Source organism: Homo sapiens, chromosome 11, assembly GCF_000001405.40.
Source record: "Homo sapiens chromosome 11, GRCh38.p14 Primary Assembly".
Classification (NCBI taxonomy): domain Eukaryota; kingdom Metazoa; phylum Chordata; class Mammalia; order Primates; family Hominidae; genus Homo; species Homo sapiens.
The window spans coordinates 34,727,830-34,750,628 of NC_000011.10; the positions used below are offsets into that span (position 1 = coordinate 34,727,830).

At 41.3% G+C, this 22,799-nt stretch overlaps 1 long non-coding RNA gene across 1 annotated transcript in view; it reads left to right on the forward strand.

Moving 5' to 3' along the window:
• The window catches only part of LOC102723568 (uncharacterized), a 185,086-nt gene that overhangs the window by 35,236 nt on the left and 127,051 nt on the right, over nucleotides 1-22,799 (forward strand). The window contains exon 5 of the long non-coding RNA XR_007062652.1: nucleotides 4,456-4,600. This is a non-coding gene — a long non-coding RNA (uncharacterized LOC102723568). The remainder of the gene's footprint in view (nucleotides 1-4,455; nucleotides 4,601-22,799) is intronic.

Consider the following 22,799-nt stretch of genomic DNA (forward strand, 5'->3'; position numbering starts at 1 on the left):
GGTTACTCTGGGTGCAGAAAAATCCAGCTTCCCAACACAGGCTGAAAGCAAGTGGGGAGGGGTAGACCTGTGTGCCTTCTACCTTCCCTATCCTTTTTCACCATTCTCCATGCTTTCCCCATCTAGAGCAACAGATAGTTATCCTTTTCCATCAGCAACTATATTTTTTATTTTTGCAGCTTTTATTTTAGCTATAAAGGATATATGTGCAGATGTGCTAAATGGAAATATTGCATGATGCTGAAGTTTAGAGTGCAGATCCTGTCATCCAGGTAGTGAGCACAGCACTTGATAGTTTTTTTTCACTCTCCCTCCACCCTCTCATGGTCCACAGTGCCTATTATTTCCATATTTAAGTCCATGTGTGATCAATGTATAGCTCCCACATATAAGTGAGAATATGTGGCATTTGTTTTTCTGTTTCTGCATTAATTTGCTTGAGATTATGGCCTCAAGCTCCATCCATGTTGTTGCAAAGAGCATGATTTCATTTTTTATAACTGCATAGTGTATTTTTATAACTCCATTTTTTATGACTCAATGGTGTACATGTACCACATTTTCTTTATCCAGTCAAACATTGATGGGCACTTGGGTTGATTCCATGTCTTTGGTATTGTGAATAGTGCAGAGATGAACTTATGAGTGCATGTGTCTTTTGGGAGAATGATTTATTTTCTTTTGGGTACATATCCAATAATGGGATTGCTAGGTTGACTTGTAGCTTGGTTTTAAGTTATTTGAGAAATCTCTAGACTGCTTTTTTCAGTGGCTGGACTGATTTACATTCCCAACAAAAGTGTGTAAGTGTTCTCTTTTCTTTGCAGCCTCACCAGCAACTGTTATTTTTTGACTTTTCAATAATCACCATTCTGACTGGTGTGAGATGCTATCTCATTGTGGTTTTGAGTTGCATTTCTCTGATAATAAGTGATAATGAGGATTTTTTCATTTTTTTGCCAGTTGTGTGTCTTCTTTTGAGAAGTGTCTGTTCATGTCCTTTGCCCATTTTTTAATGGGGTTATTTGGTTTTTGCTTGCTGATTTGCTTAAGTTCCTTACAGATCATGGATATTAGGTCTTTATCAGATGCAGTTTGTGAATACCTTCTCCCATTCTGTAGGGATTGTCTGTTTGCTCTGTCAGTAGTTTCTTTTGCTCTGCAGAAGCTCTTCAGTTTAATTAGGCCCCACTGTCTGTGTTTGTTTTTGTTGCAATTGCTTTTGGGGACTTAGTCAAAAATTATTTGCCAAGGTTGATGTTGAGAAGAGTATTTACTAGGTTGTCTTCCAGGATTTTTATAGCTTGAGGTCTTACATTAAATTTTTTTCATTTATTTTGAATTAGTTTTTGTATATGGTGAAAGGTGGGAGTCCAACTTCATTCTTCTGTATATGGCTAGCCAGTTATCCTAGCACCATTTGTTGAATTGTGTATCCTTTTCCATTGCTTGTTTTTGTTGACCTTGTCAAAGATCAGATAGTTGTAGATGTGCAGCTTTATTTCTGAGTTTTCTATTCTGTTCCATTATGTGTTTTTGTACCAATACAAAGCTGTTTTGGTTACTGTGGCTTTATAGCATAACTTGAAGTCAGGTAATGTGAGACTTTGTTCCTTTTGCTTAGGATTGCTTTGGCTATTTGAGCTGTTTTTGGTCCCATATTAATTTTAGAACAGTTTTTCTAATCCTATGAAGAATGACATTGGTAGTTTGATAGGAATAGCATTGAATCTTTAAATTACTTCGTGCAGTATGGACATTTCAAATGACATTGATTCTTTCAATCCATGAGCATGGAATGTTTTCTGTTCATTTGTGTCATTTCTGAATTCTTTCAGCAGTGTTTGGTGGTTCTCTTTGTACAGGTCTTTCACCTCTTTGGTTAGCTGTATTCCTAGATAATTTCATTTTCTTTGTGGCTATTTTGAGTAGGATTGTGTTTTTTATTCCACGTGCACCCTGGATGCTGTTGGTGTATAGAAATGCTACTGATTTTTGTGCATTGATTTTGTATCTTGAAACTGTATTAAAGTGGTTTTTCAATTCTAGGAGTCTTTTGGCAGAGTCTTTAGGATTTTCTAGGCATAGAATCATAATTGTCAGTAAAGAGAAATTGTTTGGCTTCTTGGTTTCCTATTTGGATGCCTTTTATTTCTTTTTCTTGCATGACTGCTCTGTCTAGGACTTCTAGTACTATGTTGAATAGGAGTGGTGAGAGTGGGTATCCTTGTCTTGTTCCAGTTCTTAAGGGGAATGATTCAAGCTTTTGCCCATTCAGTATGATGTTGGCTGTGAGTTTATCATAGATGGACCCTAGCTATCAAAGAAAAAGAAAGAGAGAAGATCCAAATAAGCACAATCAGAAACAACAAAGGTGATATTACAATTGATCCCACAGAAATACAAAAGATCCTCAGAGACTATTATGAACAACCCTACACACACAAATTAGAGTATCCAGAAGAAATGGAAACATTCTGGAAGCACACAGTCTTCTAAGATTGAATCAGAGATTGAAACCTTGAAAAGACCAAAGACAAGTTCTGAAATTGAATCAGTAATAAAGAACCTACCAACCAAAGCAAAGCCCTAGACCAGATGGATTCACAGCCAAATTCTACCAGACATTCAAAGAAGAACTGATACTAATCCTACTGAAACTATTCCAAAAATCAAGAAAGAGGGGCTCCTCCGTATCTTTTTCCATGAAGCCAGCATCAGCTTGATACTAAAAGCTGGCAGAGACACAACAAAAACAGAAAACTTCAGACCAATATCCCTGATGAACATTGATGCAAAAATCCTCAACAAAATACTAGCAAATTGAATCCACAGCACATCAAACAACTAATATACCACAATCAAGTAGGCTTTATTCCTGGGATGCAAGCCTGATTCAACATACACAAGTCAATAAATGTGATTCACCACATAAACAGAATCAAAAGCAAAAACCATTTGTCATCTCAAAAGAGGCGGAAACAGCTTTTGATAACATCCAACATCCCTTCATGATAAAAAAAAAAACCCCAACAGACTAAGCATTGAAGGAACATACCTCAAAATAATAAGAGCCATCTATGACAAACTCACAGCAACTTTAGAAATGATAATTAGCCAGTCCTCCTAATGACTTAATAATCATGCCTTGCGTGTCAATGGACCTGGTGTTTTCAGGCTCCCTTTCAGTCATTAATTAATCCTCCACCAGCTGCCTGTAGATGTAGGTCACCTTGATTACCTTCAGGGTGTGGCTGAGTCACTGAGACAGGCCTGGGATCTGCCTAAGTTCATCCAGCAGTAGCTGCAGCCCAGTCAGGCCACTGGCCAGTGGTAACCAAGATGTAAAGTCAGACATGTCCTCTGCCCCTTCCTTCCCAGAGCCCAGTGCTCTCATACTGCCTTCCTTGGCATTCCACGTTCCTTTGATTAAGCCTCTCACCCAAACTTATGTGTCCTGGATCCCTAAGGACCATGTTAAATAACAGGAGGTAATCTAATACAATAGTTTATATTAATGCATTACTGATTAACATGACTGCATTCATTTCCCCAGAGGTATGTGCGTTTTAACAGAGGGTCTTCTGCAGCTCCAAAACTTTAATCCATGGGGATGAATTTCTAATGGTAGAATTCCAGGCATTTGTCACTATCACTAGACAAGCTATTTTAGCAATGGGGCCTTTCAGGGAGAAGTTCCTCACACCACCCTGGCCATGTAGCTTGAGTGTCTTGCTGACTCTGTCCCTAAACCCCTTGTCTTGCCCTGGCTTAGTCATTAGTTCCCTCTCTAGGGACTGGAGAGGAGCTGGCCACTAGGATGCAGGTGCAACACACTAATAAAGAGCTGGAAGTTAGTTCTCTCTTAATTAATTCCACCTGAATCCACATTCCCTTAGACAACTAAACTGTGTGCCAAACAACATTTGCCCTGGTGTGATCTGGGCCAGCCCAGCATAGGGTGCCGGATTTTGGGATGCTCAAACTTATGACTCATGAAAGCTGAATGCATGTATGTGTATATGTGTGTGTGTGTGTGTGTGTGTGTGGTGTGGTATGTGTGTGTACATATGCGCATGTGCCTGTGTGTGCCTGCGTGTGAGGCAAAGCAGCAAAGGTGACCACCTGAGGGATGAATCCTGCCTAATCCACTCTAGCTTGATGGCTTGAGGAACCGAATGAATAAAGACCAATAAAGTGCAGATGGAAGACAACGACAGCTGAGCTTTAAGTTCTCAATTATGTGTTCTCATGAGAGGTTAAGGAGGCACAGGGATGCAATGGCTAATCCCAAAACCTTTACAAGGTTTAGCAGTAACCTGGATTACTTCTTATTTGTGCTTGAACTATGATTATTAAAAAGGAATTGATTGGGATTGGAAATCAAGAGGGCCAGGCAGGACTGGGGGAGCCTAGGATCTTGGAAAGCCATCTTGAATAGTGGTTTTCTTGCAGCTCCTTCTTCAAAGGATGGAACTTTAAGGATGGAACCAATTGGCTACAAATCATTTTAGCTGATGCACTGAGACAATTCTGAAGCAAACTGTCTTATCCTGGATTTTGTCAGTAACTGGAGTTGAAGGACTTGAAGATTCTCAAGGTAACATCTATGAAAAATGGGCTTTCTCTTTTTGTTCATCTTTCCACATCCTGAATTCACCCCTTAAAAGTTATGTAGATCAACATGGCAATTCTCTGAGCCTCAGTCTGTTGTAATTTGGCAGAGTTTTTGTGATAATTAAGCAAGATAAAAATAATTATGATTCTTGTTTATGATAATGATAATTGTTAACATGTATTGAATATTTACTATCTGCTAGCTTACATTTCTATTACTGGTTTACAAATACCATGTGAGATACAGAGCAAGAAACTGGGGTTCAGGGAGGTGACATAACAGGTGTTTAATAAATATTCATTTTCTCAAGATAGTATGTGCAAAGTAATTCTATTTGGGTTAGATTGAAATGTATTTGTATGGAGATAAAATGAAATAGACATTATAAAATATTAATTGCACTTTTATTTGGGAGGTGGGTCTGTATACAAACCTTACTTTTTTCCTATTTAGTAGTCTGTACTTTCTAAAGTAACTACTTGTTATTTTGGTAGTATGAAAGAAACTACAGTGGAGGTGGAGTGGGTGGGTGGTGAGAATAAAGGTATTGCTCTTGCCTGCCACCTGCCTTGTATGAAGCAGTTAAAGCTCCACGACCTGTTCTGTTGACTTAGCAGGGATTATGCTAGGTCTGTAGCTCTTCAAAGAAAATGGATACTTGCTGGTTAAATCTGACACATGTGTTTTTCCTTTTTCATATGCTTTTCAGCTTATAATTACAAATTGTATAAAAATCAATAATTCTGCAAGGATATTTGCTTTTGCTTTATTTACACACACATACACACACACACACACATTTGTGCCCTTCCTGCAATTCTCTGAAGATGCGTTCTGAACACTTGACCCCAATTCAATTATGTGCAACATACATTTCTGTATTTAGGGCCCAAAACTTGTAGATTGAAAAGTGAAGACTGCCTTGCATCATTTAAAAAAAAAAATGTGAGGCTGGGTGCAGTGGCTCACGCTTGTAATCCCAGCACTTTGGGAAGCCGAGGCGGGTGGATCACGATATTAGGAGAGCGAGACCATCCTGGCTAACATGGTGAAACCCCGTCTCTGTGAAAAATACACAAAATTAGCCAAGCATGGTGGCAGGCACCTGTAGTCCCAGCTACTCGTGAGGCTGAGGCAGGAGAATGGCGTGAACCTGGGAGGCGGAGCTTGCAGTGAGCTAAGATCACGCCACTGCACTCCAGCCTGGGTGACAGAGCAAGACTCTGTCTCAAAAAAAAAAAAAAAAAAGAAAAATTGGCAAAAACATCTGGGGAAAGAAGAGGTGCCCAAACCCTCTTTCAGGACTTGGGAATGTGATTTTATTTGAGGACTGGTCTTGGTACTGTCCCTTTGTCATTCATGGTTAAGCACCATTCCAGGCCAAGTTGCCAGTGGATGGAGGGAGCAAGGCTCTCCCTGCATGGTACCATAAAGGTCTGTGGATGTGGGAAACTCACAAAATCCGTGAAGTTGGCATGGGAGGTAAGAAGAGGAGGCTGGCAGAGTTCGCCCGCAGCCCGCCTGTTTGGTTCTCCCAGATTCTGTCCCCTCAGGGCAGGTGACCCAATCGTGGTCCAAGGACTTGGCTGGTAATACCAATAATAGCATCCTTCATTAAATTTTAAGCACTTTAAATTGTCTCAGTCAAGTCTCCCAACAACCCTAAGATATAGGTGCTATTGCTAGCAGCTTCACTTCACAGTGGAGGCAACTGAGATTTACAGAGGTTAAGTAAAGTAAGCCCATGGTTACACAGCCAAGTGGCAGAGCTGAGACTCAGACCCAGGTCTGACTCTACAGCCCCCATGCTCCTTCCTCTCTCCAGCGACATGCTGCCTCACCAAACTTGCCCAGTCAAACCTGCCTCTGCTTCCTGTCCTGTCCTCTCCCATGTCCCAGGGCTGCACTCCCCTTGCCATGGGCACACCTGGCAGGGACTTCCCATCCTCTTTCTGCATGCTCAGCCCTCAGCCTGGAGTCCCCTCAACAGCCCATTCCCCCATCTCTGCCTGTTGGAATTTACACATCCTTCAAGCCCAGCTGAAGTCTTCCCTGGTCTTCCCATTTGGAATGACTCTTTCCCTCCTTGGCTCAATCTCAGTGAAGTGTGAATAAATAAGTAAAATTTATATATGTATATATAATGTATACATGCATATATAGTGTGTGTGTATACATATTATATATATATTTTTTTTTTAAACAGTGGTAGGAAGAATAATGATGCCCTTCCCCCAAAGATATCCATGCCCTAATCCCTGGAACCTGTGAATATGGTACCTTACATGGCGAAAGGGACTTTGCAGATATTGTTAAGATTAAGGCCCTAGAGATGGGGAGATTAGCCCAGGTTATCCAGGTGGTCCCAATTTAATCACCAAATCTTTAAAAGTGAAAGAGGGTCGGGCATGGTGGCTCAGGAGTTTGAGATAAGCCTGACCAACATGGTGAAACCCTGTCTCTACTAAAAATACAAAAATTAGCCAGGCCTGGTGATGTGCACCTGTAATCTCAGCTACTCAGGAGGCTGAGGCAGGAAAATCGCTTGAACCTGGGAGGTGGAGGTTGCAGTGAGCTGAGATTGTGCCACTGCACTCCAGCCTGGACAACAGAGGGAGACTCTGTCCAAAAAAAAGTAAAAGAGAAAGGCAGAAGAGTGGGTCAGAGACATGTGACATGAGAAGGACTTGACCCACCATTGCTGGCTTTGAAGATGGAGGAAGGGGGTCATGAGTGAAGGAATGTGGTGGCTTCCAGAAACTAGGAACAGTTCTCAGCTAAATCCAGCAAAAAAATGGGACCTCAGTCACACAACCACAAGGAACTGAATTCTGCCAACAATCTAATAAGCAGATTGTAGAGCCTTCAGAAAGCAATGCAGCATGTCAACAGTTGTGTTTTTAGTTTGTTGAGATCTGTGTTAGAATTCTGACCTACAAGGCTGTAAAATAATCAATTTGTGTTGTTTTAAACCACTAAGTTTATGGTGATTTGTTACAGCAGCAATAGAAAAGTAATATACTTTCACTGGGTTTATTTTATAATACTAAAGCATTGGTGCCAGTCTACTACTGTGATTGCTTGAGTATGCATATATTTCTCTCCCTCACTTTTTATTGGACTTAAGTCTTAGTTATTTTTATATATTTTTCTTCAGAACCTCAAGTAGCACCTGGATTTTGTTGCATTGCCTTACATCATCTATATTACCTGAGTGACCACTACGTGCACAGCATCATCTTGGGTGTAGAGAAACAAAGTCAAGTCAGTGGGGTAGTCTGTTAAGCACTTCACAGAAGTCTGGGGTTTCACTCCTCCTAGGCACATAAGAAGAAGATTGTATGTTTCTGCCTTCTCAAAGTTCAGTGTGGCCATGTGACTTGCTTTGGCCAAGAGCTGAGAACAAATGCTTTATCCTTCTCTCCTTTCTCTGCAGCATGCTACCTGGCAACGTTTTAGATGGTGTGGGGTCTGGCAGCTTGCATCTTTACTGATTGTGGTGTGTGGAATCTGTTGGCTGGCTCACAGTGGACATGTATTGAAAGTGAGAAATAATCTTTTTGTTTCGATAGCTCAGATTTTGAGGTGGTTACCACTGCATGATTTAGCCCACCCTGACTGATAAAGTCAGTTTCTGACTCAGGTTCTTACAATTTTGGGGAAGAGAAATCAGGCATATACACAAGTAACTACTATATAGAAGAGAAAGGTTGGGATTGAATATAAGTGTTGATGTTTAGAATGTGTCCTTTCAGACTTTATCTACACTAACACACAAACAAACCTGTAGGTATGTAAGTCTGAGAAAATAAATGCTTCTTTTTATGAAATTGGGATGATACTCTACACATTATTTTGTAATTTGACTCATTGACCCTCAAAAGAAAAGCCACTTAGCCTACAAAGCAAGTGATAAGGCAGGCAGTGTCCCTTTTTAACAGATAAAGAAACTGAGCTTCAGAGAGGTTAAGCAACCTCTTCAAATTCACTCAGCTGGCAAGCGATGGAATTGGAACTCAAATCTGGAACTCTCTGTCTACAAAGTCAGCAAAAAACACATCTCTTACCTCCATAGAGCAGGGCATGTGCACAAAACACCTTAAACATACAAGATGGTGCATGTTGAGTGATCAACCAGCACTGTGGATTGCATGTGTGCTAAGCATTCCAGATGAAGAACACTTAACACATATGGGCTGGAGTGATGGAAGAAAGACTTCACAAAGACATGTGACCAAGCTCAGCCTCAGAGGCAGGGCAGGACTTAACTAGTTGAAGTGGAAGGTGTTTATTCATTCATTCACCATTTGATAACTTACACAACAGCCATTTATTAAGTGTTTGACACAGAGGAGGCACTGTAATAATCCAGGCAGGAGACATGATGGGGAAAAAGCCTTGGAGTTGGAACATTCAAGAACGAGAGGCAGGCCTGGATGACTGGACTCAAAGACTGGGGTGGGAAGAAATGGGTAAAAAGACAGGATAGGCAGGTAAGGAAACAACCAGAGGAGATCTTGGGTGCCCTCCACCACTACTGCCTAAAGAATAACCCCAAACTTTGGAAGAATTTTGAATTTTACCATGAAAATTTAGGAACTCAACTCCCAGTGCGAAGCTAATACAAGATGATGGGGTAGGGTTGGAGGGCAAGGTGGAAGATGGGGAAAAGCTACAATTTTACCTTAAAATGATTTCACTAGTTCTGAACTTCAGTTTCACTCATCCACATTGGTCCAGTGCATTGCTGGGCACTCAGTGAGATTTGGAAGAAGAGGGACACAGCCCAACACAGCCAAAGACAATAGAGTCCACAAGGCAGTAAACAGTAGATATCTAGTTGATGCTAGAATGTGAGCTATAGACAGAAGGACTGGAGGGGTTGAAAGCAGCCCTGTGTACAAGATGAAACATGAGCTCTGGAGTGATGCAGACCTGATGCCAATCCCAGCTCTGCTCCTTCACATGAGGTGATGGGCAAATTGTTGAGCTCAGTTTCCTCTTTTGAAAAACAGAGATAACATCTAGCCTGAAGAGTCACAGGGATTGGGAAACAACATATATAAAAAAGCCTGGATTCCCAGGCAAGATGGCCAAATAGGAATAGCTCTGGTCTGCAGCTCCCAGTGAGACCAATGCAGAAGGTGGGTGATTTCTGCATTTCTAATTGGGGTACCCAGTTCATCTCATTGGGACTGGTTAGACAGTGGGTGCAGCCCACAGAGGGTGAGCAGAAGCAGGGTGGGTTGTTGCCTCACCTGGGAAGCAGAAGGGGTTGGAGAACTCCCTCCCCTAGCCAGGGGAAGTCATGAGGGACTGTGCTGCGAGGAACTGTGCATTCTGGCCCAGATACTATGCTTTTCCCACAGTCTTTGCAATCTGCAGACCAGGAGATTCCCTTGGATACCTACACCACCAGGACCCTGGATTTCAAGCACAAAACTGGACAGTCGTTTGGGCAGACACCCAGCTAGCTGCAGGAGTTTTTTTTTTTTTTTTCGTACCCTAGTGGCACATGGAGCACCAGAGAGACAGAACTGTTCACTCCCCTGTCAAGGGGGCTGAAGCCAGGAAGCCGAGTGATCTTGCTCAGTGGATCCCACCCCCATGGAGCCCAACAAGCTAAGATCCACTGGCTTGAAATTCTTGCTGCCAGCGCAGCAGTCTGAGGTCAACCTGGGAAGCTGGAGCTTGGTGGGGGGAGGGGCATCCACCGTTACTAAGGCTTGAGTAGGTGGTTTTCCCCTCACAGTGTAAATAAACAAAGCCATTGTTTGTAAACAAAGTTCAGACTGGGTGGAGCCCACTGCAGCACCGCAAAGCTGCTGTAGCCTGGCCTGCTCTCTAGATTCCTCCTCTCTGGGCAAGGCATCTCCGAACGAAAGGCAGCAGCCCCAGTCATGGGCTTATAGATAAAACTTCCACCTCCCTGGGACAGAGCACCTGGGAGAAGGGGTGGTTGTGGGCACAGCTTCAACAGGCTTAAACCTTCCTGCCTGCCAGCTCTGAAGAGAGCAGCAGATCTCCTAGCACAGTGCTCGAGCTTTGCTAAGGGACAGACTGCCTCCTCAAGTCACTGGGTCAACAGTCACCTCATATACACTGGCATCTGGCAGATGTGCCTCTGGGACAAAGCTTCCAGAGGAAGGATCAGGCAGCAATATTTGCTGTTCTACAGCCTCCGCTGGTGATACCCAGGCAAACAGTCTGGAGTGGACCTCCAGCAAACTCCAGCAGACCTGCAGTAGAGGGGCCTGACTGTTAGGAGGAAAACTAACAAACAGAAAGCAATAATGTCAACATCAACAAAAAGGATGACCATGCAAAAACCCCATCTGAAGGTCACCAACATCAAAGACCAAAGGTAGATAAATCCATGAAGATGAGGAAAAAACAGCACAAAAAGGCTAAAAATTCCAAAAACCAGAGTGCCTCTTCTCCTCCAAAGGATCATAACTCCTCACCAGCAAGGGAACAAAACTGGATGGATAATGAGTTTGATGAATTGACAGAAGTAGGCTTCAGAAGGTGAGTAACAACAAACTCCTCCAAGCTAAAGGAGCATGTTCTAACCCAATGCAATGAAGCTAAGAAACTTGATAAAAGGTTACAGGAACTGCTAACTAGATTAACCAGTTTAGAGAAGAACATAAATGACCTGATGGAGCTGAAAAATACAGTTCGAGAACTTCGTGAAGCCTACACAAGTATCAGTAGCCAAATTGATCAGGCAGAAGAAAGGATATCAGAGATTGAAGATCAACTTAATGAAATAAAGCATGAAGATGACATTAGAGAAAAAAGAATGAAAAGGAACTAACAAAGCCTCCAAGAAATATGGGACTATGTGGAAAGACCAAACCTACGTTTGACTGGTGTACCTGAAAGTGATGGGGAGAATGGAACCAAGTTGGAAAACACACTTCAGGATATTATCCAGGAGAGCTTCCCCAACCTAGCAAGACAGGCCAACATTCAAATTCAGGAAATACAGAGAACACCACAAAGATACTCCTCAAGAATAGCAACCCCAAGACACATAATCATCAGATTTACCAAGGTTGAAATGAAGGAAAAAATGTTAAGGGCAGCCAGAGAGAAAGGGAAGCCCATCAGGGTAACAGCGGATCTCTCTGCAGACACCCTACAAGCCAGAAAAGAGTGGGTGCCAATATTCAACATTCTTAAAGAAAAGAATTTTCAACCCAGGATTTCATATCCAGCCAATCTAAGCTTCATAAGTGAAGGAGAAATAAAATCCTTTACAGAAAAGCAAATGCTGAGGGATTTTGTCACCACCAGGCCTGCCTTACAAGAGCTACTGAAGGAAGCACTAAATATGGAAAGGAAAAACCAGTACCAGCCACTGCAAAAACATACCAAAATGTAAAGACCATTGACGCTGTGAAGAAACTGCATCAACTAATGGGCAAAATAACCAGCTAGCATCATAATGACAGTATCAAATTCACACATAGCAATATTAACCTTAAATGTAAATGGAGTAAATGCCTCAATTAAAAGACACAGACTGGCAAATCAGATAAAGAGTCAAGACCCATCAGTGTGCTGTATTCAGGAAACCCATCTCATGTGCAAAGACACACATAGGCTCAAAATAAAGGGATGGAGGGATATTTACCAAGCAAATGGAAAGTAAAAAAAGCAGAGGATGCAATCCTAGTCTCTGATAAAACAGACTTTAAACAAACAATGATCAAAAAAGACAAAGAAGACATTACACAATGGTAAAGGGATCAATGCAACAAGAAGAACTAACTATCCTAAATATATATGCACCCAATACAGGAGCACCCAGATTTATAAAGCAAGTTCTTAGAGACCTACAAAAAGACTTAGACTCCCACACAATAATAGTGGGAGACTTTAACACCCTACTGTCAATATTAGACAGATCAATGAGACAGAAAATTGACAAGGATATTCAGGACTTGAACTCAGCTCTGGACCAAGCAGACCTAATAGACATCTACAGAACTCTACAGCCCAAATCAACAGAATATACATTCTTCTCAGCACCACATCACACTTATTATAAAATTGACCATATAATTGGAAGTAAAATACTTCTAAGCAAATACAAAAGAACAGAAATCATAACAAACAGTCTCTCAGAACACAGCACAATCAAATTGGAACTCAGCATTAAGAAACTCATTCAAAACTGCACAACTACATGGAAACTGAGCAATCTGCCCCTGAATGACTACTGGGTAAATAATGAAATTAAGGCAGAAATTAATAAGTTCTTTGAAACCAATGAGAACAAAGACATAATGTACCAGAATCTCTGGGACACAGCTAAAGCAGTGTTTAGAAGGAAATTTATAGCAGTAAATGCCCACATCAGAAAGCAGGAAAGATCTAAAATAGACACCCTAACATCAAAATTAAAAGAACTAGAAAAGCAAGAGCAAACAAATTCAAAAGCTAGCAGAAGACAAGAAATAAATAAGATTAGAGCAAAACTGAAGGAGATAGAGACACGAAAAACCCTTCAAAAAAATCAATGAATCCAGGAGCTGGTTTTTTGAAAAGATTAGCAAAATAGAAAGACTGCTAGCCAGACTAATAAAGAAGAAAAGGGAGAAGAATCAAATAGAGACAATAAAAAATGATAAAGGGGATATCACCACTGATCCCACAGAAATACAAACTACCATCAGAGAATACTGTAAACACCTCTATGCAAATAAACTAGAAAATCTAGAAGAAATGGATAAATTCCTCGACACATACACCCTCCCAAGACTAAACCAGGAAGAAGTCAAATCCCTCAATAGACCAATACCAGGTTCTGAAATTGAGGCAGTAATTAACAGCCTACCAACCAAAAATAGCCCAGGACCAGATGGATTCTCAGCCGAATTCTACCAGAGGTAAAAAGAGGAGCTGGTACCATTCCTTCTAAAACTAATCCAAACAATAGAAAAAGAGGGACTCCTCCCTAACTCATTTTATAAGGCCAGCATCATCCTGATACCAAAGCCTGGCAGAGACACAACAAAAAAAGAAATTTTCAGGCCAGTAACCATGATGAACATCAATGCAAAAATCCTCAAAAAAATACTGGCAAACCGAATCCAGCAGTACACTAAAAAGCTTATCCACCATGATCAAGTTGGCTTCATCCCTGGGATGCAAGACTGGTTCAACATAGGCAATTTAATAAATGTAATGCAGCACATAAACAGAACCAATGACAAAAACCACATGATTATCTCCATAGATGAAGAAAATGCCTCTGATAAACTTCAACACCCCTTCATGCTAAAAACAATAAACTAGGTATTGATGGAACATATCTCAAAATAATAAGAGCTATTTATGACAAACCCATAGCCAATATCATACTGAATGGGCAAAAGCTGGAAGCATTCCCTTTGAAAACCGGCACAAGACAAGGATGCCTTCTCTCACCACTCCTATTCAACATAGTATTGGAAGTTCTGGCTAGGGAAATCAGGCAAGAGAAAGAAATAAAGTGTATTCAAATAGAAAGAGAGGAAGTCAAATTATCCCTGTTTGCAGGTGACATGATTGTATATTTAGAAAACCCCATCATCTCAGCTCCAAAACTCCTTAAACTGATAAGTAACTTCAGCAAAGTCTCAGGATACAAAATCAACATGGAAAATCACAAGCATTCCTATACATCAATAATAGAAAAACAGAGAGCCAAATCAGGAGTGAACTCCCATTCACAATTGCCACCAAGAGAATAAAGTACCTAGGAATACAACTTACAAGGGATATGAAGGACCTCTTCAAGGAGAACTACAAACCACTGCTCAAGGAAATAAGAGACGACACAAACAAATGGAAAAACATTCAATGCTCATGGATAGAAAGAATCAATATCATGAAAATGGCCATACCGCCCAAGGTAATTTATAGATTCAATGGTATTCCCATCAAGCTACCATTGACTTTCTTCACAGAATTAGAAAAACTAGTTTAAATTTCATATGGAACCACAAAAGAGCCCGTGTAGCCAAGACAATCCTAAGCCAAAAGAACAAAGCTGGAGGCATCACGCTACCTGACTTCAAACTGTGTTACAAGTGGAAGGCTAGCACTCTGATAGCACCACATTGCACAGCCATGAGTATGGTTTCATCTAACCTATAAGCTAACTGGAAGGCAGATGAAATACAGTTAAGGACTATTGGCAAGGTTTTTATAATCTGCACTAAGAAAGAGTTTCATCTACCAGATCAGCATCTTTGTAAAGGTTGCTGATGGGAGATGACCTCTCTATTACCTCCAAGTTTGATGCTTGGATGCTTCTTGCAACAGCAAAAGCCAAGCCCTGACACACCAACCTTATGTGGGCAGCCTAGACCCTTATAGCTGCAGCCAAAACTTAATCTCTTAGCCATCTGAAGCCAGGTCTACTCAAGTCCGTGCTCCAAAAAGTCGGAAGCCACAGGCCAGGAATCACTGATGAAAAAGATGAAGGAAAATCCCCTTGAGCACAAGACCATCAGTTCCTACACCATGGAGGGATACCTCTATGTGCAGGAGAAACATCACTTTGGAACTTCTTGGGTGAAGCACTACTGTATGTATATATAAATGGGATTCCAAACAAATCACCATGGTACCATTTGACCAAAAGTCAGGAGGAAATAGGGAGACTGTGAATCAGTTACCCTCAAATCCTGCACACGGAAGAAAACAGACTCCATTGAGAAGAGGTTTTGCTTTGATGTGGAAGCAGTAGACAGAGGAAATTTGGACCCAGAAATGGACATGCACATGAGAAGAATACTGTGTTAACACGAAGGCAGAAGTCGAGGAGATACACCTACAAGCCAAGGAACGCTAAAGACTGGCAGCCAAGCACCAGAAGCTAGGAGAGAGGCATGGAGCAGATTCATCCTCACACCTTAGAAGGAAGCCTTGATCTTGAACTTTTAGCCTCTAGGCCCATGAAACTACAAATTTCTGTTGTTTAAGCCAACATTTTATATATATTATATATATATATATATACACACACACACACACACACATATGTATATGCATATATATGTATATATGTATGTGTATATATACATATGTATGTGTATATATACATATATATGTATATACATGTATACATATGTACATATATGTGTATATATACATATATACACATAACAGTGTATACATATACATATGTGTGTGTATATATGTGTGTGTGTGTGTATATATATACACACACATAGTTTCTCCATACACCTTGGAGAGCCACCTTCAAGGTTTGTCCTTGGCTTGCTGAAGCCCTTCCTTTCTTCTTTATCCTAGATAGTTAAAATACCTCTTTTTTTTCTTACAAAAGTAAAGTCAGATTATCATGGATAATATAGATAAGCAAGAAAAAAGAAAAAAAAAACCTGACAATTACTCCACCAACCCAGAGATAACCTCTTTTAACTGTTCTGATGTTTTCCTATCATATCTTTCTTTTTTTTTTTGAGACAGAGCCTTGCTCTGTCACCCAGGCTGGAGTGCAGTGGCACAATCTCGGCTCACTGCAACCTCCGCCCCCTGGGTTCAAGCAATTGTCCTGCCTCTCTCAGCCTCTCTAGTAGCTGAGATTACAGGCATGTGCTACCACACCTGTGTAATTTTTGTATTTTTAGTAGAGACATGGTTTTTGCCATGTTGGCCAGGCTGGTCTTGAATTCTTGACCTCAAGTGATCTGCCCATCTTGGCCTCCCAAAATGCTGGGTTTACTGGCATAAGCCACTGCACCCAGCCTCATATCTTTTTCTGAAGATGTATAGGTATATGTATAAAAATAATATGTAATATATTATGTTGGTATTTTTGCTATCAGATATTTTTCAAAATATGTGTATACACATATATGTATTTGTACATATGTCTTTCTACATCAATAAATACATTTCTAGAATATATTTTTAATGACTACATAGTCATTAAAATAGACTGTCTTCTATTGAATGAGGATACTACCCAAATTTTTAATGAGAAGGATATTTAAACTATTTCATGTTTTAATTTTATAGAAACATTTCAGCAAATATCTTTAAGACTATATCTTTTCTCAGACCTTTCATTACTTCATAATTTCTAGCAGTAACATCTCACATCTTTCATTATGTCCTTGGGATAAATTCTAGCAGTAGTGTGGCAGGGTCAGAAAAGATTTTTTTCTGCATTTTTTACTGCAGTAATCTTTACCTTTTGTTCGATTCCTTTCTTGAAATTTCACTTACTGCTAATGAAAAACATCTGTGGGAACCAAAGCAGAAGTGAGTGTTATGTCTTAATGTTGCTGAGTCCCTAGCACAGTGCTAGTGTTCCAATTAATCACATTAAAGTGATATTTCTCTGACCAGGCTCACACCTGTAATCTTAGCACTTGGAGAGGCTGAGGTGCGTGGATCGCTTGAGCACAGGAGTTTGAGACCAGAATGGGCAACATGACAAGTCTCTACTAACAATACAAAAATTAACCAGGCATGGTGGCATGCACCTGTAGTCCCAGCTACTGAGGAGGTCAAAAGATCATTTGAGCCCAGGAGGCTGAGGCTGCAGTGAGCTATAATCGCCACTGCACTTCAGCTTGGGTGACAGAGCGAGACTCTGTCTCAAAAAAATTTAACAAATAAATAAATAAATAAATCAATAATAAGATAAAGTGGGATATCTCTTCTGGCTTCAGTAGCAACAATAAAAACAACTATTATTATTGTCATTGTTCTTGCTATCTTTCATCCTGTTCTCCTGCTCTGAGATCCCCTCCACTTGGGCTCACTTAGGAGGAATGGGCCATTTGCCAGAAGCTCCATGGACTTCGCCTGGAGCAGAGCACAGAGTTTCTGGCACATTCACTGTCTGAGAAGCTGAGGCTGAGCTTCGCCTGACCCCTCGGAGCCCCTCAACTCTAGACAATAGGTCTTCTGTACTGTGTGCTGAGTGACACCTGCAAGAGGCTGGTGTTCATTGTTATGTCCTTTTCCTGGCAGGCTTATCTATTGAGTTTGGCTTCTGCTGACTGAAGTGAGGGAAACTGACCTAGTTGAAGAGAGCAGCTTGACAGAAAAGTCTTAATGTTGCCATATGGCCTGAGGGCTCCATGTGAACCTGTCAAAATAAATATATATTAATTAATCATCTCAATCCTAAACACGTCCCAGCATTGATCACAGTACATGGCACAGAGTACAGGTACTCTGCAAGTGTTTGCTAAGTTAAAACATGATGGCAGATGAGGAGGGTATTAATTATCTTTGCCTTATCTTGCTGTAGATTGTATGTCACACACGCAGCATCAGGTATTTATGTCTCCAGGAGTCCTCTCACAAGTGAGCTGGAGGATCCTGCCCCATGTGTAGGGTTAAATACACAACTATTCTTCAACTTTTGGACAAAGACCAAAATGCATGGGTCTAACAAGTGCCACTAAGCTGATAATAAAGAAGAAGATTGACCTGCCCACCATAAATCAAGGGTGAACATATAATAAAAGTACTTTCAGACATGCATGGTCTCCACAAATAGTCACTTCCCAAACAGCTCTTCTTGGGAAGATACTAGAGGATGCACTTCCCTAAAAATAGGGGTGGGGTGGGGGCAGGGGGAATAAACTAAACCATGGAATCCAGGATCCTGGTATTTAACTCAAGAGAAAAGCTCAGAGTATTCTTAGGATGATAGCAAAAGAAAGACCAGAATAATAGCAGCACCGCTGACTTACAGAGCAACCCATCTAGACTATGGGAGGAAGACCAAGCATCTCCAAGAGGGATATACTGCACCCCCCCTCAAAAAAACATGAAACTCTTTAGTTACATGGTAGATTTGACTTCATTAGGAGTTTTATAGCCCTATGTGAGAATTTGGGATTAATTAATTGTAGGTACACAAAACCAAGCAGAGGAAAAATAGGAAAAAATGTTCACGAAAGGAAAACTAACCACAGTACATTATGTGGCTCATCTGTGAACAATATTTTCATAGATATTATCATGTAAACAGCAAATATTGAATTAACAAAAAGTTGATATATATGAGTGAATAGGGGAGGGGAAGTGTCATGTTGTGGAGAGATATAGGAAGAGCAAAATAGAGGTGATGAAGAGAGATAAATTTTATCCTCCACTATAGAGTAACAAAAGAGAAATGTCTACAATGGAAAAATCCAGAACTAGCAGTATAACCATATTATTTAAAGAAAGAAAGGTCAATTCCAAAGAAACGGCTTAAAAGGTTGAGAGTTGTTGCGTTTGGGGAGAGCAACCTAAAAGTAGGAAGGAGTAGAGCAGACATTGCTGCTTTTTGAGATGATTTTTACTTTTTTAAACTATGTACATATATTATTTTTTAATTTAATTAATAGAAGTATTAGAGGGTATATAACTGCGGGAATTGATGCACACTTCTTCTCTTGGGGTTTTGATAGTTAAGTCAGTGTCTTTTTAAAATCATGTTCCTCACAGTTCTTTCGGGGACCGTCAGAAAAAGAAAGGGGGTGACTGAGAGACTGGGGTTCTTTGACTCTTCTATCAGTTTTATATGTTGAGGTTCCTGGTGAAATTTCATTTGAATTAAAGGGTCAATTGCTTAAAATTTTTTGTTTTGAATTTTGAAAGCACAGACCTAGACCTAACTTTCTGGGAACTAGATTTCTCTTGGTGGCCCAGTGAGTCAGTGCGCCACATCCAGAGCCTCTCTCACACAGCGCCAGGCATTATCTTTCATGCACCACCATGGCCTGGAGCTTTTCTCTCCAAAAGGAAGAATGAATTTGTGATGCACTGTCTACATCTTTGTATTTTTTCCCTCTAGGACCAAAGGCCTGTGTGTGTGAGCTTAATGATTTGGAAGTGTGGTGTGATTCTAGGGACTTGAGGCCCTGAGCCCACAGTCTTAGCTCCAGTGCCTCCAGCTCCAACCACCTGAACTGAGCCATTACGAACACAAAGCTAGGACCACATCAGCTTTACGACACACCCATAGCAATAAAAGTGAACAACCTTTGAGTCCTTATGATTTGCCAGGCACTGCTCTAAGTGCTTCCTATGTATTTACTCCTTTAATCATCACAACACTAAAGACACTGTTGCTCTCTGCATTTTACAGATGAGGAAACTGAAGCACAGAGAAGGTAGTAATCAGCCCAGAGTCACAGCTAGCAAGTGGCAGAGCCAAGATTCGAACCCAGACAGACAGAGTCCAGAGCTCAGGCTCTTAACAGCGTCCCTTTTCTGTCCCCTACTACACACACTTTCTTTATTATTATTATTATTATAATACTTTAAGTTTTACAACGTGCAGGTTTGTTACATATGTATACATGTGCCATGTTGGTGTGCTGCACCCAGTAACTCGTCATTTAGCATTAGGTATATCTCCTAATGCTATCCCTCCCCACTCCCCCAACCCCACAACAGTCCCCAGTGTGTGATGTTCCCCTTCCTGTGTCCATGTGTTCTCACTGTTCAATTCCCACCTATGAGTGAGAACATGTGGTGTTTGGTTTTTTGTCCTTGCCATAGTTTGCTGAGAATGATGGTTTCCAGCTTCATCCATGTCCCTACAAAGGACATGAACTCATCATTTTTTGACTACACACACTTTCATATTCCTTTTCCTTAGATGAGCCCACAAACCCTTTCACGGAGACTTTCATTGAGGTATTCTATGCCCTTTCATTCTGTCATTTGTCTGGGTGTTTTTAATTAGGCTGGAGTTTCAGTAAACAGCAGACTCACTTAAAACTGAAGCCGGCAGAGAAATCCTTCGTTGACAAAATGTCTGGCACACACAAGCAAATCATGATTTGAAGTCATCAGAGGCAATTGGATACCCATGTTGTAATGGTTTGGAATTAAGGGTTTAAATCTCACACCCAAGGGCTGACACCCAGAGAAATCACTCACTAATCTCTGTGTCTGATGCTTGGGCAGGGAGGTAAGGGGCTGGGGCTTTCCTGGGAGGGTGCATAGAACCAAGAGGCCTCTCCACAGAGTAGAAGCCAGAGGCCCTCCAAACCAGCCCCAGATAGAACTTTAACAGGATCAACCCAGCCACTGGGTAAAGGCACAGGGAACTGTGGATGGGCCTAGTGGCCTGGAGGGCAGGAGGAAGGCTGGAGGTGGTCCCTGCCTCCACAACCTCCTTGCACACCCTCCACTCCTCTGATACCCCACTCCAGCCTCAACAAAACTTCTTTGCATTTTTCCAACATGCAAGGCTTGCTCCTGTCTCCGAGGCTTTGCTCTTGCCTTTCCCTCTGTCTGGAATGCCCTTCCCTGCCTCCTACTCATGTGGGTCTCACCTGGATGCTACCTCTTCAAAGAAGCCATCCTGATCACCGTAATTTAAAGTAGCCACATACTCCCCATGCTCATTTCTTTTTCATACCCTGTTTTTCTTAAACCAAAAAACCTGCAAAACCCATCATCAGGCTTATCATTAGTGGATTTTATGTATTTATTTATTTTAAATATTTATTCCTCTCGATGAAAGCAGGCACTTTTTTTTGGCATAAATTTCATTCCTCCCAGAGTAATGAAATCATGTTAATGTGTGGTTGAACCCCATTGACTATTTCTTGAACAAATGAATAAGTGAATGAATGGTTGGATGGTATCCACGAATTAGGCAGGTAGGGGGTTCAATTTTTAGCCTGTGTTGTAGGAAAGAGAACAAGGACTTTCTCTCTGGGGAATTATTCTTCTTGGCCTTTAGCAAGCCATCTCCTTTTCCAGCCCTCCCTCCTACCTATCTGGCATTGAAGAACTTGTTTCCATGCTCAAGGACACAGTGTGAAACCTTCCTGTTGGGAGCTCTGTGGCTTTTCTGGGAGTTTAAGGCAAGGATTCTCTCAAGGTAGAGAAAGCTCTGAGTCCCATTTAGCCCTATTGTTGGGGATCACTTGGAAGGAATTGGTGGGGAGAAAAGCCTGTCCTTTATCGTTGCCTTCTGGGGGTCTAATACCATGACAACCTGGCCTGAGCCATGAATCCTGGGCTCTCAAATTAGTGCATTCTCAACTCACTGCATCCTGATCTTGACTAAGTGCATCCTGTTCCTCTCTTTGGAGTTTCCTGGCTAAGGATACCTCTATGTTGATGGGCAGGGCCAGGCCCGTCTTGAACCAGGGGCTGAAACTTGCTCAGCTCTGTAGATGCTCCTGCCTGTGACTCTTGTCCTGATCCCTGCAATAAGAATACAGTCATGACGTTTCAGTCAATGAGGGACTGTGTATATGATGGTGGTCTCATAAGATTATAATACTGCATTTTTATTGTACTGCTTCTATGTTTAGATATACTTAGATACACAAATACTTACCATTGTGTTACAATTGCCTACAGTATCCCATAAAGCAACATGCTGTCCAGGTTTGTAGCCTAGCAGCAATGGGCTATACCATATAACTTAGGTGTGTAGTAGGTTATACCATCTAGGTTTGTGTAAGTACACTTTATGATGTGTGTAAATGACAAAATCACATAACTACACATTTCTTAAAACAAATCCTCGTTATTAAGTGACACTTGACTGTACTTATCTCTAAGTCGTTCCTACTTTGCCAGGATTATGGAGGCTATGATTGTAGGGGAGTCAAACCCAGCTTCACTGGGACTTTCCACGCAGGACTTTTCCTCCCCTCTCGTCTAGCCTCACCCCATTGTGGTGCAACCCTGTCCTAATGGGTCACCAGACTGGTGAAACCTGAACAGTTGGAAGCCAAAGGAAGCACTTGATGATAAGAAGGGGGGGTCGGTGAGCAAGTGGGGGCTTTGGAAGGGGACCTGGGAAGGGTGGAGAGGGAAGGGAGAGGCACTGGGGCCATTTATTTTCAAAGAGAGATGGATTTTAGATGTCAACTTCATTGTTTTTATCATAGTGAAATCTTTATGAAGTTGAGGTGAACGAAGCCCTGTATGCATTGTTATGCTATTTGGTTTTGATAAAAAATTGCATTGTACAAGATGTTCCCTGGCTACATAAAACCTCACTGCACAGCTAATGGTGGCAGCGAGCCACACCACAAGTTGTGCAATGCCATGGCAGGGAAAACAGAGCTGCTTCCCAGGGATTAAGGCTGGTATTTCAATTTGAACTTTAAGAAAGAGCTTGAAGGACCAAGAAAGAAAAAAAGAGAGAGGAGAAAAGGGAGAATGCAAAGAA